Source organism: Homo sapiens, chromosome 6 (assembly GCF_000001405.40).
Source record: "Homo sapiens chromosome 6, GRCh38.p14 Primary Assembly".
Classification (NCBI taxonomy): domain Eukaryota; kingdom Metazoa; phylum Chordata; class Mammalia; order Primates; family Hominidae; genus Homo; species Homo sapiens.
In genome coordinates this window covers 98,809,681-98,829,363 of record NC_000006.12, presented here as the reverse complement: position 1 = coordinate 98,829,363, position 19,683 = coordinate 98,809,681, and the positions used below count along the sequence as shown (strand labels likewise).

Here is a 19,683-nt window from a genome sequence, read left to right as displayed (position 1 = left end):
CGCGCGCGTGTGTGTGCGCGCACACGCACACACAGGCACGCTCGCATTTTCTCCCCCTAGCCTTAAAGCAGGTGGATGGCTGGCCACCAGTAGGGGATGACAACTCTTTGATAAATTAAAGTGATTTCAACAGAAACCTCCTTAGCTCTAAAGCATTTGGAAATGTACTGGGATGAAGCTCTTGCTAGAGCTCCTGGCTTCTCTCATCCTCTGGAGCAATTTTCGAAGAGGAAGGCAAGCTAGGGACGAGTGCACTAACATACACCTGCGCACAGAGGCGGACTGGGGAAGTGGGAGGAGGGTGTACTCAGCTATTTCACTGAAGCCATTTTCAAGGGCTAGGGCTGTTGCTCCAGCCCTGGGATAAACAGGCGTATTTGGTTGAAGTTGGACTTCAGTTCTCTTATTCTGCCTGCACACAGCACGAATGCAAATCCTTCTGAAGTGTACAAGTGCACTTAACAATTGTGTCGTTAGTGTCCGGGAGGACGGCGGTTGGGGGGGGATGGGGGGGTGGGCGGGGAGGGGAGCAGGTGGTGCACGGGCGGGAGAGATGCTTTTCTGGAGAGCAGTTAACCACAGTCGTAATAACTGTGGGCCAAAATCTTCTGCTAGGTCTCAGAGTTTCGAATCTGTCATTCTAGACAGCTTTTGGACATCATAAAGTTAGAGATGATTGTATTTTTAAAGACAGGTTTCCAGAATTTGGGTCCTGGGAACATAGGGGCAGACGTTGGCCGGAAGAGGAGGCAGGAAGAGGAAGCCTTAGGCAGATTGGAGCAGGGAGACCTCCTGGCTCCTCTTGTCTTTTCTGAGAGTTTTCGATGGTAATCTAGGGCAGCCGGGTCCCAGCATTAAATGCAAAATAGGAAAACAGAACACGGCCGAGTCATAGGCCTGATCATATTAACGCCCTAGGTCAGAGGGAGAGAATAATGAATAGGCACGGAGCTCAGTTCGTGGAAGGGAACTTAATTAACCTTGGGAGAGTGAAAGAAAGTCAGAGATCATGCCTAGTACTTCGGTCTGGGGTGCTTATATTAATATGTGTGTGTGTGTGGTGTGTGTGTGTTGGGCAGGGGAGAAGTGTAGTCTGCTCAATGCATTTTTCTAATATATATATTTTTAACCCTGGAAAAAGCTGGAGTTACTCCTCAGGGCCATCCAAACACCCACACAATCCCTGCAGGGAACTCCCCTGCGGGAGCCCCCGAACTCGGTAGTGAGGTCCTGTGTCCTAGCCTCGGCCCGCGTGGGGGGATCAGTGGGGGTAGAAAGCGAGAGCTAAGGCTTCCCAGCGCCCTGGACTGACCCGGGGAGAGACTGCTATGGAAAGGATGGAGGTGGGGGTGGCGGGGAGGGATGTTCCGTGGTCGAAGAGCGCCTAGGCAGGTCCTGGCTGGGATCCGGGGGAGGAAGACGAGGGCGAGAAGCAGGAGGCCGGGCCATTGTCCAGGGAGGGCGCATTTTTGTCCGGATGCTGCTGGTTGCTATAGCGAGGAGGGAAATCCAAACAGAAAGGCTCAGTTCGCCTCCCTCGGGCCTGGGAGCAGCCCTCCCTCCTCTTAACCAAAATAAAAGTGCCGCCTGGGGCCTGGCACCCTTTCCCTGAGAGCCGACTGCGGGCTCGAGGAGAAGGGCCCGGAGGACCTGGGCACTGAGCAAGGGAAGGGGGGCCGGCCCCGCGGGGAATGGCCAAGCAGCTTACTGCTGGAGCAGGCAGAAAGCCCCAGCTACCCTCCCCATTTCGTCCCCCAGCCCAACTGTTTTCCTGTCCCTATTTTGTTTAGGAAAAATCCCACAACTTTCTCCAACTTATGCCTTCTCAGTAGTTGAAACCCCTTCTCCGTCTGGGCTCATGTCAGCGATTCCGCGTTGAAGGCGCGGTCCTAGCAGAGGGACCCGCACGCGGCGCGGACAGTGTACAGAGGAGCGGCAATACCAGCGGCAGAACGGCCTGTTAGGAGAGTTTAAAAATCACTCAAAGGAAAAACTTACTAGAAAGAAGTGTAGTTGCAAATTTCTCACATTTAAAAGAGACTTTTATTTTGCAATAGGTTTTTTTTTAATGTCTTGCTATTCAACTTTGAAAACAGTGTGTGAAGGGAAGGTTACAATGAAGACTTTTTACTGCTTATAATTTCTCCAATAGTATAGCTCAGAAGAGTGAGGGGAAAACAGTAAATATTTAGTTAATGATGAGCTGTTAGCTTCAGAAAATTTTGAGTTTGTTCTTTTAAAAGGGCAGTTGTATAGTCTCCTCTATCTCAGATAATGAGTTAAGATTTTATTTGTAGGGACAAGTTATCTATACCAGAAGGACGTGGATAGTTGGAACTTGAAAAATTGATTCTCTCTTACTCTCCTGTGACTTTGAAAGTCAGCCCCATCTCTCTTTGTTTCTTTCTGTCTGCCTTTTGCCTAGAAGTAGCATGAAAAACTGGACAGAAAAACTTTTATTTGATCTTAGGAAGCCATTTGAAAGGCATAGTCAAAGCATTTTTCTACATCCTCCATTTAAAATATATGCTTTCCTTTCCAATGACAAATTCCTTTTTTAAAAAAGTTCACATAACTTTGTAAAAAGTCTCTTAATTCACAATGATATCCACATTTTAAAAAAATGCTTGAAAGAAATCATGTTAATGAAGTGAATATTTGCAGTAGTTTGGAGGTAATTATCAGAATCACTACATACTCGCAGAGGCTTGAACAATACGTGTTCAGAGAAAAGCAAAACACATTATTTTAATAGTCTGATATGCAAACTATGGACCGTTCAATTATGTGGCTTAATAATGCATACATGATGTGATCTTGTTATTGGGAAGGGTGGGTTTGTGGTGAGTCACTCCTAAGACCAAGAGCGCTCTCACATCCAGTAAAATCCATTGCCATGGATCAGGGGCCCATGCCAAACTACATTTAAGAGAATAAAATTTAATGACTGAGAATTTGAGCGTTAAATTAACATTAATTATATGACCTGCTTGCTGGAAAGATTAAATTTCTTACGCCCTAATTAGATAACGTCTCCTCATACATCAAACAATTTCTATTTTCATTTCCAGGTTTCAGGAATACAATGCAAAGTGCTGAGAGGCAGTAGTTGAGGATTTTCCTTCTCCGAAGTCAGAGTTTGGGGGTGTCTAGCCACCATCTCCACTGTTTTCCTTTCTTTCCTCGACTGAATCAAAATAGGAGGTCATATTAAAGAATTAAGCTCGTTCTCCACCTTGCACTAACAATGATAATTGGAGACCAGGGAGTTGGTGGGCGGTCCCCAGGTAGACCTGGAGCGTTACAGGGACCTTTTACAGCTGCCCCAAACAAGCCTAGGTCACCAGTCAACGTCTCAGTCCAGGAAACTTAAGCGGCAAGACACCTGCAAGTAATGCCCAACCAAAACGCACCACACATTCGTTTCTAGTAGAAACGCCTAAACTAGAAATGCAAGGACGAAACTTGATCCAAAGAGTGTTTGGAACAGAAAAATTGTTTTCTTGGGGGCCATGAGGGACACACAACCAAAAGCCAAGACAACAGCCCTCCTTTCCTTCGTGAAGAGGTTTACTACAGGTTTGTCAGACATTTCCTTAACAGTGCCCTGACATTTAGAAATCTCACAATACGCTGGCCACAGGCGCCCACGCCGACGCGGACAGCTCAGCGTCTGCCTGACTGTCTGGGATGAACACAGGGCAGGCCTCGGCCACAAGTGGGGAGTGAGAGAGTTTGGAGGGGATGTCTCCTCAACTTGACAACCTGTTGCTGATGGAGAGGGAGCAGGGAAAAGGGAGGAGTAGGGGGGAGCAGTACCTCCTCCCACCAGGATAGGTGGTCGGTGGTGGCACGTTCCTTCTCCCAGTTCCTAAGTTGCCACTTGGGGTACCCGGGCTCCGAAGAAAGCTGCTAAATGGACTCGATTTGGAAACTGCGCAAAGACTTACATTCTTGAGATTAGGATTCAGAGTTTCCTCCTAGATACACAGTGTGGCCCCAGTCCTCTCACATTCCCTGCGTTGCCTCCCCCTTCCTCCTAGCCTCACCTTTCCTAGGGACAGCAAATGCGGGGACCTTTCGGACAGCTGCTCTGAACTTTGGGCAGGACCGGCGGATCAAGATTAAAACCTCAAAGCGGGAGATTCTAAGTCACTCAGAATAGAGTTTTCACGTGTCAGTGTTTGAATTCAGCCACTTTCAGGCTTCTGGAGAAAAGGGCAGGCGTGCGTGAGCGCGAGTCGACGCGGTCGTAAATAGTGACTTACAAGGCAGGGGAAGGGGAGTGTTAGCAAAGTTAGCAGATACGGCAGAGGCGGGGTGGGGGGTGGCTTCTGAGTGCAGGTTTTCCATTCCTTGGGGCAGTCCGCAGGTGGAGGGAGGGTCGCCCCGGGGGGAATGCGGGGCGGGGGGTGGAGGAGGTGGCGGGAAGGGGTTCGGGACGGGGAGACACTGTCCGAGGCTCCTGGCCAGGCGGCTCCTCCCGCTGCCGACTCGCCCCTGGTCCTCTGCTGTCTGCCCCACAGCAAGAGCCAGCGCCGCGCAGCCACCGCGCACTGCGGAACGCACGCTCTGACTTGGCAGTTACTTCGCGAACTCCAAGATCAAGTGGAATCCGATCTCTGGGTTGGAGTGGACCTGAAAATTAGTCCGCCCCGTATTTGAGGCTGGAAAATTCCCGCCGCGGTTCCCTGCAGAGCCTGGAGCCTTGGGATTGTGGGGATGGGGAGGCGGGGCGGGGCTCCGAGGCCCGGAGAGGCGCCTGCACCCAGTCCTGCGAGAGCCAGGGGCTTCTGGAAAGACTGGCGACATTTGAAACTTGGCGCGCGCTCTCTCCCTCCCACGCTCCCTCTCCACTTTGAAGGGGTTCCGAGGGGAGGGCCTAAGGATTCAGGGTAATAAAGGTGGAGGAGAGTGAAAACGACTAGAAGATACTCCTGCCTTCCCGAACAATACATAAACCTCTCCTAAGAAGGCTCTATTTTGGCAAGGGAAACGCCTCTCCTGGCAGGTCCACAGAATCAGAACGTCTCAGCCGTTGTGGCAGGAACTTTGCAGCCCCACTACTTGGGCAGAGAGAAGCCTCCGCTCGCTCCCCACAGCTCCATCCCCCACTCTCCGCAGCGCTGTTTGAAGTGTTTCTCTTTTTCGCAGACCTGCCCCCTATCAACCCCCGCGTCCCTGAGAGCTTGCCTTTGCTCCAAATGGTTACTCCTTTTAGAAAGTGGAAAATCAATACTAGTTTAGCCTCTTCCGTAAGATGATGCACTGTCGAAACTCACAGGGAGGGAACCCGCGCCATCTGACTCTTGGGCGGACCAAAGCAATGCCCCTGCCCCTGGATAATTTACATAGAAATTTACAATGAATAATGTTCTTGGGCGCTCCTGAAAACATACTGTGGCTAGTGGCATTATTATAAGCCCCAGGACACACTTCTTACATATTCTCTAGTCGTGGTTGAAGTTTGGTAAAATGATTGATCAGAAGTTTGCACCGTGGGTGTTTATTCTTCCTGTTTTCTTAAACCGCGTCTTGGATGGTTTCCTGTCAGTTTTCAGATGCCATTTGCAGCACAAACAGATTTCATATGCCTACTGCAGATTGTCTTCAAAGTTCTAGTTTAAAGAGCATTATGTAAGCCTCTCTCTATTTACATAAGAGCTTTAACTCAAATCTCTCAGAAAACCATTTATTACCAATGGAAACCCGTCCAGGGGAGCAGCATAACCGACCTGTATCTTTATGACACTTTCAAAAACAGCAGTAGTTTATTCTTTCTGGGGGTGGGGTGGGGGGAAGTAGATGTAACAAAGAATTGGAGTACTTGCATTTTTATTCAGCTTGGTTTTGTATAATTTGAGTATTATTCTTAAGCTTAATTCAGTCAGTGGGGACTTTTATAGGATCCACTTTTTAAATTATGTGGTCAGCACTTATCTAGACCACAGAGATGGCCCTGTCTCCCTTCCTCAAGTTGAATCCTAAATGTGAGAACAAATGTCTTTTAGTTAGTAGAATCAATTAAGTATAATTTTTACTAAAACTACTAAAAGGATTCCTGAATAATGCTCACTGTAAGCCAAAGTCAAGCAATAATAAAATGTATATAATAAAGTTTCCTTTAAATTTTTTTTACCACTTTTAATATCTTCCCATTCCCCTCCCCATAAATAACCACTTTTATTTGTTTAAATGGGTATCTATCTCTCTTCCTTCTTTTGTTCCTTCATTCTTTCTTTCCATATTCTTACTAAACTTTATATATATATAGTAGGAATATTTTATATATATATATATATATATATATATAATTGGAAAGGGACCTGGAGAGATAGGAAACTTAGTTATAAGGAGTTCAAAATTGTGACAGTTTAAGGAAGGCCAATATCTTGCCCCATATCACATGGGACACTAGTTTTCAGGTATTGTTCTGTCTGTTATTGCATTAGCTGAAAAATAAATCACTTAGACATTGGCACTTAAATGTCATTAGAAAAGATCAACAAGGGTCTTGCAGACTTCTTTGCTTAATCGTTAGGCCATTAAAAGCTGGAAATACTTCAAGAGAATTCTTAGAGTCTAAGGTTCTTCCTGGTGACAGTCTTAGGTTTAAATGACCTACAGTTTCCTTGCAAACTCAAGGCCGATGCCATTCTTCAGCCATGTCTCCAACAAGGAACTTCTTTTGTTGAGAAAAGGGACTGGATTTCCAAACATCCTCTCATAGGTTGCCTGTTCTAAGATATAATTAAATGGTGGTATGGGTAGTGTTATAAAGAGAAATTGCAAATTAGACACGTTGTGCCTGGAGTGCACCACCACCCTCCAGCCCTTTCCTCACTCTTCCTATCAACCTGACCACACAGGTTCCAGACCTGCCCTTTGGGACATTTCAACCCATACAGATTCCTTCCTCTGAGGGACTCCTTACTATTGCCTTACCTGTTATCATCAACCAGATAAGGTAATAAGGTAATCAATATGAGGTGTTAAGAGATGATAAATGCTAAGAGACATTTGCCTTTTCCAAAAAAAGCTTGGAGGGTCCGTGCTATAGGCCCAAAACAATGTATCTCAGTAGTGTAACTGGATTTAAGACTGTAGTTGGCAGATGGAAAAGATATTTTAGGCTGGAGGAATTTGCGGCATTCCTAAAATATAGCCACATGGCCATGAGTCACCTTCTTTGTCCTCTCTTAAAGACCAACTCTACCTCTGTGAGCTACTAAGATATGAAATTTCTACTGTAAAAATAATGTCATTGAATTTTTATTAGTAATTGTGCAGTGTTGGAAAAGTTTTAATGGGACTGGTGTTGTATTGAAGAACTTACTTCTCCTAGTAATAGGTTGAACTGATCCCATTCTGGGGAGAATGATCCATGACTGGCCAATGAAAGTATTGCACATTATAGTGATTGGTTTAGGAAGGGCACATGACCTAAGCAGACCAATCAAGGCAACTCAACATTAGCCTCATAACTTTGGCCAGAATAGTGAGGGAAGGGAAAACTAGTTAAAGCTCTGGTTATCTTATTATACTAAGGTATATAAAGTATAAGCCTTCATCTTCTAGGAGCTCCTGTTGTGAAGACAATGTGCTTGAGGAAAACCATTGCAGAGAAAAGCAAAAGACAGAGGAAGATAAGATATAATTGAACCACTGGATTCATCTGTGCTTAAAGTGTATTCTTGGACTTTTAATTTTTTATTTATTATTATTATTATTTTTTAAGACAGATTCTGGCTCTGTTGCCCAGGCTGGAGTGCAGTGGCATGGTCTTGGCTCACTGCAACCTCCTCCTGAGCTCAAGCGATCCTCCCATGTCAGCCTTCTGAGTAGCTGGGACCACAGGCATGTGCCACCATGCCTGCCTAATTTTATTTTTTTTTTGGATCTTTTTGTAAAGAGAGTTTCACCATGTTGCCTAGGCTAGTCTTGAACTCCTGAGCTCAAGTGATCTGCCTGCCTCTGCTCCCAAAGTGCTGGGATTACAGGCAAGAGCCACCACGTCGGCTTGGATTAGGGTTATTAATACTTTAAAGTTTGGAGGAGGAGCCCCAAGGAACTAGCACTCACCTCTGAAGAGGGAGTGCTACTCAGCTAGCGCTAGTAACGCCAGGTGAGAAAAATGGTCTTGAATAGTTGAGGTTGAAACCTCAGGAGGCATTGCCAGCTGTTGCTGGTGTTTCTGAGCGGGGCAGGGTATGATGAGGCTGCTTCTGGGAGTGCCAAATAGAGTTGGAGATGGAAAGACATTGCTGCTGCCAGGATAAAGTATCATTGCTCTGGTGACACTGACAGGAAGAGCAAGCAAATAAAAAGGAACAAGTCCCTCTCTGCCCTCTCCCTGTCTTCCAGTTTCTCTCTACACTATCTTTTTGACAGATTTAACGGGTTCAGCTAACAAAGTAATCTGAAGAATTCCAGGCCTAGTTTCACAAGGCAAGATCTAGAAGGGGGAAATTTAGAGCTGAAGGACAATAGCTTAATAATATGCTTGTACACATATCAGAAAAAACCTTTTGTCCAATAACAACTTTGTGCTTCTGTTTAGTAAAATGCAACTATCTTTCAGAAGATGGTCTCACTCTCTAGCCTCCCTCCCCAAGAGGAGACTCAAGTTTTCCATAGGTGTTGTTTTCATATATAGACAATTAGTCACCTAAATAATGAATTGTCAATTTTACCACCAACAACACTCCTTATACAACACAACAGAGAGAAAAAAAGAAATAGAAATATATGTGATAAGCAAGGAAGAAAATATGTGTAGCTGCTACAGCCCATGTTTCTAGAATTGGTCACAAGACTATAGTTAATTTTCATAACCTTCTTTGTCTACTAACTGGTCTATATTTCTTTGGCTTTCAGCCATCATTTCAGCCAGTTCTTTGCCTGGCAAAAGCCCCATACTTCCATTATGAGAAGTTTTAATCCTCAGTTATTCTCTGTTTTTTTTTAATTTCTTTAGTATTCTTTTAACTTTTAGTCTTATAAATGAAAATTCTGAGAGGCATCCCAGTGAGTCCTCTGGTTTTTCCTCCACCTGTATTATATAGCTGTAGCCAAATTCTCCTTGCTAATCAGGATCAACCACCACAGTCATTAGAGTAATCCCCTTCTTTGCCTATTGGCTCAGTGGCATGAAGATCCTAAAATAGACAGGTGACAGTCTCAACTTTCAGTTCAGTGGAACAATTGTTATGTCTGCTTGTAGAAGTTTTCTTTCTGTGGGAATTAGAACCTCTAAACCAGAAGAGCACCAACTTGTGGGGAATGGAAAGCAAAACTTCTGCTACCGGGTTACCAGATGGAACAGTGACACTGACTACTAGACTCCTGCATTCTGGCCATGGGAGAAACAGCACCATATGTTGGCCACTGATTCAAAGCATATGATGGCATTTTATAAGACATAGCCCCAAACTTTTAGGATATTCTTAACTGGAATGATAATGATTCTTCATAGATCATTTCATCATTTTGTCAGTCCAGTGCATAAGTGATGGGATACTGTGATACGACCAGTGAATTCCATGGACATAAATTCATTATTGTACTTCTTTGGTTGCTCTGTTAAGGTTTTTGGTCAAAGGTAATATTGCGTGGAATTAAATAATGTTGCACAGAATACAGTGACTTAATACTGTGTGGAATTAAACGATGTTGCACAGAATATAGTGACTTAGACTTTCTATAAGTCCATGATGGTGGTGCTGTTGGAAGCAGTGAGAAAAGAGAAGGAAAACCCATTTCTAGACTACCTGTACATTACAGTTCGAACTAATTGTTGTTGTATATATGAGGCAAGGTATCCAGTGTAATCAATATACCACAAAGTTGCTGGCTGCTATTCCCAGGGAATGGTGTCATTTGGGGACTTAGCACTGGTCTCTGTAGTTTATGCATTCTGCAATGGCAGCCAAAGATCAGCCTTGATGAAAAGAAACCCATGCTGTTGAACCAATGCATAGCTTCCACCCCTGCTATCATGACTGTATTTCACATTCATTCAGCAAGCACCCGAGTGGCTAGGGAAGAGGCCGCCTGGTATCTACAAAACATCTTATTTTTTAAACTCGATCTTGATTATTGAGAGCGTTATCTGCAGTGGATGACTTTGGGTGAACATATGTCTTTGCACTCCATGTGGAATCTATTCACAAATAACTTCTTCAGTATTTCTTGCCATTTGTGCTCTGATCTTGTTCTTAACCATCAAACCTAACCAGTGGTTATTAGCCACTGCCTATGAATCAGTGTCGATCTATATTTCTGGCTATATCCAGTCCTGAGAAAGGAGGTGATACACGTTGGATGTTTGTCCCCTTCAAACTTCATGTTGAAATGTGATCCCTAATGGTAGAGGTAGTGCCTAATGGGAGGTGTTTGGATCATGGGGGTGGATCCCTCATGAATAGCTTGGTGCCCTTCCTATGGTAATGAGTGAATTCTCATTCTATTAGTTATCATGAGATCTGACTGTTAAAAATTCTGGCACCTCCCCACTCTCTCTTGCTTCCTCTCCTTGTCTTGTGCCTTCTCCCTTTTCTCTCCCTTTGCCTTCCACCATGATTGTAAACTTCCTGAGGCTTCACCAGAAATTGAGCAGATGTTAGTGCCATGATTGTACAGGCTGCAGAATCATGATCCTAGTAAACCTCTTTTCTTTATAAATTACCCAGCCTCAAGCATTCCTTTATAGCAATGCAAAACAGACTAACACAGGGGGCAACCAAAGGTACTCTTCTAATTTCTTTCTTTTAGAAGGATTTCCCTTCCCCACTGTCTTTCAGGGACACTCCTGATTAGGGCTATAATATTGCAAGTATCTACTTCTAATAAATGGTCCATGCCCATTCAGGATTTCCCTGTATTTAAATCAAAGTCAACTGATTAGAAACCTTAATTATATCAGCAAAACCCATTTACCTTTGCCTTATAACATAATCACGGAACTGATATCCCATCACATTCAGAGGTCCCATCCACAGTGAAAGGGAGGTTAATTATACAATAATGTGGATCAGTGGAGGTCACTCTACCATATTATCATCCCATTTTTAATAACATTTTCACTTAACATTATGTCTTTCATATCCACCTATTCTTTTTAATATTTATATCTATCGTACTGAATCTAATTGCTATATGGTTCCTCATTACAAGCATCTGCCACGGTTTACTTTTCTTCTCTCAGTTATGAACACTCAGCTTCTATTAATAACTTGTTGCCACTACAAATAATTCTACAATAAACAGATTATTGTATGTCCCTTTCTGAACATATGTAATAGTTTTCTCTCTATATATAATCAGATACCCAGGGGGGATTTTTTATTTTTTGGCCTTGCAAGGTGTTCAAATACTTAATTTGACTGAATAGTGTGCCAAATTGTTTACCCAAATGGGTACACCAGTCTACATTTACACCAGCAGTGTATGATGATCCCTCTATTCCAGGGAGACAATGTGATTTATTGTTCAACTGGGGACGCTTTTGACAATAAAAGCAGGTGCTAATAATTATGCTGAACAACAAGTGCAAACCAGGACTGTCTCAGACAAATTGGCATATATGGCTACCTTGCTGTATCCCCACACCCTTGCCAAATTGTTGTTTTCCATTTTTCTAATTCCTGTTAGGCAAATAGGTATGAAGGTGTATCTCCATTATTTTATTTTATTTTTCTCTCATTATGTTTGAGAATCCTTTTGTATGCTTTCTAGGCTGTGGCATTTTATTTTCTTTAAATTACCTGCTTATATTTATTGCCCATTTTTCTTTGGTTGAGATTGCTAAAGACATTTTTTTACATTCTAGAAATTAGTAAGTATCAATTGTAAACACTGGTGATACAATCACCCTTTCTACTTCTGTTAACATTATCCAAGATATCCTTTATTGAACAGAAATCTTTAATCTTAATGTAATCACATGCATCAGTGTGGTAGATACAGTGGTGTATGGTTCAAATCCCTCTTCAAAGAGAGATTTATTACCTTGGCTACTGGAGGTGCTATTTGCAGACAGACTTTAATTTTCAGCCACGAATTGTCTCAGCTGGATGCCCAATTCTATTCTATTAGTCTATATGTTGATCCTTATGCCAGCACCATACTATCTTGATTACTGTAGCTTTGTACTATAAGTTTTAAAATTGGGAAGTGTGAGTTCCCCAACATTGTTCTTTTCAAGACTGTTTTGGATATTCTTTGTTCCTTGCAATTCCAAATGCATTTTAGAATCAGTTTGACCATTTCTAAAAATAATGCAGTCAAAATTTTGATAGAAATTTAATTGAATCTACCTATCAATTTGGGAAGTATTGCCATATTCACAATATTGTCTCCCTATCCATGAACATGGGATATCTTTTCATTTATTTAGGTCTTCTTTAATTTCTTTCAACATGTTTTATAGTTTTCAGTGGACAAATCTTGCACTTTGGTTAAATTATTTCTAAATACTTTACTGTTTTTGGTGCTATTGTAAATTAAATTGTTTTCTTAATTTCATTTTCAGATGGTATATAGAAATGCAACTGATTTTTATATGCAATTATGTACTACATAATAATGTTTAGGTCAATGTTGGACTGCATATACAATGATGGTCCCAGAAGATTATAATAGAGCTGAAAAATTTCTATTGCCTGGTGATGCCATAACCATTGTAATGTCATAGTGCAATCCATTACCTTTTCTATGTTTAGATATGATACACAAATACTTACAATTGTGTTACATTTGCCTACACTATTCAGTAGAGTAATATGCTGTACAGGTTTGTAGAGTAGGAGCAATAAGCTATACCGTCTAGACTAGATGTGTAGTAGGCTATATCATCTAGGTTTGTATAAGTACACTCTATGATGTTCACACAATGAGAAATCATCTAATGATGCATTTCTCAGGGAGTATCCCTGTCATTAAGTAACTATGACTGTAATTTATTTTATATGATCTTGTATCCTGAAACTTTGCTAAACTCATTTATTAGCTCTACAGTTTTTTTTTGTAGATTTATTATGGTTTGTACATATAAAATCATGTCATCTGTGAACAGAGATAATTTTATTTGCTCCATTCCAATATGGATAGTTTTGATAGTTTTTTTCTTTTTTTTTCCTAGTTGCTGTGAGTAGTACCACCAGTACAATGTTGAACAGAAGTGGTGAGAGTGAGTATCCTTGCCTCATTCTTGATCTTGGGGGACAAATTTCAGTCTTTCATCACTAAATATGATGTTAGATGTGTGTTTTTAATAGATGTTCTTTATCAGATTGAGAAAATTCCCATCTATTTTTTTCTGTTTAATGTTTTTAATCTGAAATGGTGTTGGATACTGTCAAATGATTTTTTAAAATATTTATTGAAGTAATCATGTAATTTTTTTCCCTTTATTCTATTATTGTGGTGCATCAGTTGATGTTCACAAGTTGAACTAACCTTGCATTCTTGGGGTAAATCCAAGTTGGTCATGGGGTATAATCCTTTTTATATATTGCTGAATTTGGATTGCTAGTATTTGCTCAGGATTTTCACATCTATATTCATAACAGATATTGCTCTGTAGTTTCTTTTCTTGTGATATCTTTGTCTGGCTTTGGTATTGGGATAACAGTGACTTCATGAAATGAGTTAAAATGTAGTTCCCACTCTTCTGTCTTTTGGATGCATTTGAGAAGGGTTTATGTTAATTTTTCTTTAAATATTTGGTACAATTCACCAGCGAGTTTTTCCCATTATTTATGAAGGTCACTTTGCATGGTTTCAGCTTAGTCATTTTTACATTCTCTCACTGCTGTGCAAAGTACATACTGCATGTGTGTGTATGTGTGTTTTACGATTTTTAAGAGTAGACCCCGCACAAGGCATATATTCAGTTCTCAGTATATACATATCAGAATAACTTTGAATCTATCCTTATAGCTGACCCAGTAAGATCTGCTCATCTAGTAACCTTGCTAAGTTCAACTGGGCCATCAGTCTTGCCATCCTAGGCATCCACATAATGACATTATTGCATAATGGGATGTCAAAATTCCAGTAGTTGAAACCAGTGACTCTCTAAGGAAAATAAATCAATGTATTGTATACATGTAGTTACCTGTAAAATCATCATCATTCAAATATTTGGCTGTCTTTATGTTTTGACCTTTATTTTATATTTTGCTTTCATACCAATTGGTACTGGGTCACATACAGAACTTCTTGTAAACATTTCCTTTTAAACATCATAATAATTCCATCAAAACATTTCATGAGTATGAATTTACCAATATGTATAAATAAATAATGAGAAAATAAATAAATATATACACTGCACCTTTTAAGCTATTTGCTATGCTGAAGAAATAATTTTGCTGAATAAATCAGTAAACATTTCACCAATGGGCATCTCTGGCTTTGTCTTGCAGAGTTCAGGAACATTGCAGCATTTCTTAGACCAGGGGAGCAAGCAAATCTTACCTAATTCACACTGCATGGGGAATATAAGAACTAGCATGCACTGAAACTGGAAACAGACATTACTGGCTGCACAAAACTGTTTATAAGAAATGGCCATCCAGTAAATAATGCATTGCTGACATTAGTGTCTCTGAGCTATGAGAGGGCCTTCCTTGGGTGATATGCTCAACTCTTCCAGGAGAGTCCAAGAAAGTCCAGATAAAAGCCAAAAAAAATTGGAAACATACAAACAAAGTCTATTTTTTAAAATATGTCCATCTACATAAAGAACATTTTGAATTTAATTAACCAAGAAAATTATTTTCTCCTTTCTTCATGTTATTTTATTTCAACAAAAAATTGAACTCTTAATATATACCAAGCAATGCAAAGGTGAATAAGACACTGTGAGAGGAGATGAGTATAGAAAACAATTAAGACCCTATGGTTCTCATTCTCTATGAGTTTACAACCTACTGGGGGAAGATGGATAGGTAAGTATTACAATGTTCTGTGTGACATCTTTCACTCAATCACTCACTGAATTTACTCATTTATTTTATTTAACATGCTTCCTGTGTGCTAGATACTGTGCTAAACCTCTAAAGCGGGAGTTCTCCTAGACCTTGCTCACACGGAAATTACCTGGAAGCTTTTAAGTTTCTCACTCTCAAAGATAATTATTTAAATGGTTTGAGAGCAACTTAGGTACTGGGAGTTTGAAACTCTCCCAAGGTTATTCTAATGTGCAGCCAAGGTTGAGAACTGCTTTTTTTTTTTTTTTTTTTTTTTTTTTTTGAGACGGAGTCTCACTCTGTCACCCAGGCTGGAGTGCAGTGGTGCGATCTCGGCTCACTGCAACCTCCGCCTCCCGGGTTCATGAGATTCTCCTGTCTCAGCCTCTCGAGTAGCTGAGACTACAAGTGCCCACCACCACGTCCAGCTAATTTTTTGTATTTTTAGTAGAGACGGGGTTTCACCATGTTAGCCAGGATGGTCTCGAACCCCTGACCTTGTGATCCACCTGCCTCCACCTCCCAAAGTACTGGGATTACAGGCGTGAGCCACTGTGCCTGGCCGAGAACTGCTTTAAAGAGATCAAGACTCTTTCTTTCTCCAGGAAACTCATAAACTCATAGGAGGAACAGACAAGTAGCCAGATGATTATAATCCAGTGTGAAAAGCCTTACGGATAGAGGAGAGTATGGGGAGCTACGGTCCTTCTTCCCATTTTACAGATGAAGAACCTGAGGATCTCAAATTTCAACAGATTTTCCCAACAGCACAGATTGAGTAGGTGATGGAGCCATGATATAAACCTAGATTAGTCAGACTTGACTTATCTAAGCCACTGCACTATGCCTCCCAAAAGAACAAAAAAGAAAAAATAAAAACCAAGACTATTTAATTATTTTATAAGGAAATTCGGTGTTCTTGTATCTTTAAATATAGAAAACTACTCACATGACTTTCTAAATATTTGCATGTGAAGAACTATAACAGCAATAAATAAAAAAAATACTTTTATGATTCCATGTTCTCAAAATATTTACTGAGCTAGATATTTCTCATATAAGGAAATTCTGCATAGGCTATATTTTTATATCATTATTCCTGTGTCTATTAGAATGTCCATCTAACACAACTGGGCAATGTTTATTATTCTCATGAAAATATGATAATAGTAAATATAATTTGGGAATTTAGGGTAGAGGCCTCTTTGATAATCTGACCCACAATGATTAAGCCTTGAAGTATATACCACTATGTAATTTGGACGTCTCTCAGGCCTTTTCAAAACCGCCATTCTAGTTTTAGGCTTTTTTTGCTTTTTCAGAGACTTCACAGCATCCTCTTACTTTTTAAGCAGGAAACTGTAAATATCTGAATGCAAAGTTTCTCTTTAAATTATTCTATTTTAGTTTTTATTTTTTATAGTTTTTCTTTAGGAAAACTTTTGACTGTGGAAAAACATCTCAGCTCATCATAAAAAGGGTATACGCAGGCAAAAAGCAGAAGAACTTTTCTACATTTTGTACTGATGTTTTATACATCAGTGAGGCTGTGCATGGCATGTCCAAATTGAAAAGAAAAAACTGAAGCAGCATCTCTGCGATGTCCATCTGGAGGTTTCCTGAGTAAGGATTATTAGCCAAACTCTAGAAGAAACCCTAGCCCTTGCCAAAACAAGGCTGGAGCTGCAGCTGACAAAAAGAAGTTTGAAATAAAGCAGAATTTTATTATTTTAACTAGATTTCAGTAGCAATCTAGTTAAAACAAGAAATTTTAGGTGGGATTCAACTTCTAAAAGTGAATTTTAAAAAGAAAAAAAAACCTCAGTGATGCAAATACTTCATGGGAGAATAAACATTTACAAGCGTCATTGAGATATTTAATAGTTATAATATATTAGAATGCCTTTGATTCAGAGATTTCAGAATGTCTGGAACTTAAAAATACCACAATGATTCACATTATGTGTATCTGTAGGGGTTCTTTTAATGTCTTGTAGCTGTTTCATTTTTATCCATGATTTTCTATTGAGGTTCTATTGAGCTCATTGTATGAAAAGGTCCTATAAAGTTCAAGACAAATTTTCTCTTGTAGATCTCATTTTATAAGAGTAATAAGAAATAGTTACGGCTTTTGGTCATTACGTATAATACGAACTTTAGTTATTTCTATCCATGGATTTATATATGTAAACCAGCTTCTTTCTGGGCCACACCAAAGAAGCAGGTGTCTTTCTTTTTTTGGTATCTCAAAGAGACTGGGCCCTGCATAAAATTTAACATGGGTAACTCAGCATGAAATACCCCACTCTGGGCATTTGATTCTGAGGAAGCAGTTTATGGAGGTTGGAAAGGGCTATTCCAAAATATAAGGTTATATATGTGATATAGAACTTGTCTTATATGCAAATTATGTGTTTGTATTGGGATGTTGTATTGTTATGTTACTATTGTGTATGGCTGTCTGTAGCAGAAAAGATTCAAATAATGATTCCCCACGCCAAACCCACTGTATTAACAATAAAAATGTCCTGTTATCCTATATACCAAGAAATTCTGAGATAAGGTAGCTCCAGCATTGTTAATTTGTTGGCTCATGGACTCATTCAGAACTCAGGTTCATCCCATTGTGTTTTTCTCCGCTATCTCTTGTTTTGTCCTTGGCTGGTTTTCCTCAGGGTTACAAAAATGGCTGCTAGGGTCCCAGGAATAGCATGCAGATACTATAATGTCCAATAGTAGGAGAAGGGTCATTCATCCCATATGTCTCTTTATTTGGATATTAACTTTTTCTGAAGTCTCCAGCAGACTATGTCTATAGATTGGAACTGAGTGATATGTTCATGCCTAAACCAGTTGGTAGCAAAGAAAACAGGATCATCCTAATTGTATTCTTAATCAGGATTTACCTTGAATCATATAGGGAAGATGGACAGTTGAGTTAAATTGGGACCACTTCTGGTAAGGAGGAAGGGTGGTTGCTTGTTGGACAAAAACGAATGACTCCCTGTGAAGAATAAAGAAAGTGATGGAGAGAGAGTGAGAGAGAAAAAAATAGTTCACGAAAATCAAGCTCAGAGATGATTCTCTATGGGAACAGATGGGACTTACAGCTATAGGAAGCAGGTGGCAACAGAGGAGATGGACTTTATTTTTAGCCACCCTAAGTGGGCCTCTATGCACATCAGGTCAGGACTGTGGGTAAAACAGCAAGGGCCTCTGGAAGCCTCCTTGTACTGGTCATTGAGTTATTGTCAATTTTGTTTTTTCTTTTTAAAAACAAATTAAGATGATTTTTACAATTAAAGCTTACAAGCTGTGGGTGCAGTGTATAAGTAACTTGCTTAGGTTAGCATGATAAATTGGATTATTCCCTTTCCCCAAAGAGCCTGGAAACAGAAAGGGGAGTGGTCTGGAGTGCATGCCCAATTTTCCCCATCAGCCATCCATTCATCCATCCATCCATTCTTTCCTTCACAAATACTTATTGAGCACCTATGTGCCAGGCATCATTTTAAGCTCTATAGTTAACCCTGAATTAAGTATGGAAAGTCTTTGTCCGCATGGAATTTAAAGTCAGTGGGAACGGACAATAAACAAACAACCAAATAAATGTATAAAGAACAGATGGTTATAAGTTCTATGAAGAAAAATAAAGCAATGTAAAGTAGAGGTGTAGTGAGTTTGGTATTTTATATGATGTGCTCAGGGAAGGTCTTATTAAAAGAGTATTTAATTGGAGACCTGAAGAAGGGAGTGGTCATGAGAATATCTAAGGGTAGAATGCTCCAGATAAAGGGAAAAATATGAAGATCCTGAAGTAGAAGGTTGCTTGGAGGCTAAGAAGGACAGTGTGATTGGAGCAGAGAGGAAGAAGAGAAGTAACAGAGGATGAGCTCAAAGAAGTAACAGGAGCCAGATCATACAGGGCATTGTAGGCCAGTGGTTCTCAGAGTGTGGTCCCCAGACCCACAGCATCAACACAACCTGGAAACTTGTTAGAAATGCAAATGTTGGGCCCCATCCAGGCTTTCTTTAATCAGAGCATCTGGGTGGAGTCTAGAAATCTGTTTTAATAAGCCTCTAGAAAGTTTGAGAACGAGTGTTGTAGGCTATTGTAAAGATTTTGGATTTTATTCTGTGTGGAATGGGGTTATATTGGAGGGTTTTGAGCAAAAAACCCATAATCAGATTTTCATTTAAAAATGATCACTCTGGCTGCTTTGTTAAAAATAAACTATAGAGAAACAAAAGAAAGAAGCGAATAAATCAGTTGCAGATTACTATAATAGTCTGAGCAAGAAGTGATGGTGACTTGGGCTAGAATGGTGGTGACAAGTGGTCGAATTCTGCATGTATTTTGAAGTGAGAGTCAATGGGAATTGCTGATGGATCATATGTAAAATAAGAGTTAGCAGGTATATAGGTATAACTCCAAAGTTTTTAGCCTGAGCAACTGCAAGGATGGAATTGCTCCTTATTGAGATGTGGAAACTGTAGGGGAAGAAAGTTTAAGGGCTAAAATCAGGAGTGCATTTTGGTCATGTTAAATTTTAAAATGGCTATGCCAAGCAGGCAGTTCAGGGGAGTGGTTTGAGCTGGAGATAAAAACTAGAGAGTCGTCAGGGCATGTGTGATATTTAAAACCATGGCCTGGATGAGATCATCTAGAGGATGAGTATAGATGGAGAAGATGCCCTAGAGCTGAGAT

General features: G+C 40.6%; 3 annotated features.

Annotated features, from left to right (window-relative positions):
- Positions 1,014–2,179: an enhancer, noted in NCBI's record as "amplified fragment containing the chr6:99275060-99276226 (GRCh37) conserved CAGE region with expression in brain". NCBI's record gives its function as "drives transgene expression in the floor plate {active_cell/tissue: floor plate}" and the evidence as "EXISTENCE:transgenic organism evidence [ECO:0001131][PMID:24670763]".
- Positions 3,198–3,703: an enhancer, noted in NCBI's record as "H3K4me1 hESC enhancer chr6:99273537-99274042 (GRCh37/hg19 assembly coordinates)". NCBI's record gives its function as "activates a minimal SCP1, AML or CMV promoter by ChIP-STARR-seq in naive H9 embryonic stem cells {active_cell/tissue: H9 hESC(naive)}" and the evidence as "EXISTENCE:reporter gene assay evidence [ECO:0000049][PMID:30033119]".
- Positions 3,704–4,209: an enhancer, noted in NCBI's record as "H3K4me1 hESC enhancer chr6:99273031-99273536 (GRCh37/hg19 assembly coordinates)". NCBI's record gives its function as "activates a minimal SCP1, AML or CMV promoter by ChIP-STARR-seq in naive H9 embryonic stem cells {active_cell/tissue: H9 hESC(naive)}" and the evidence as "EXISTENCE:reporter gene assay evidence [ECO:0000049][PMID:30033119]".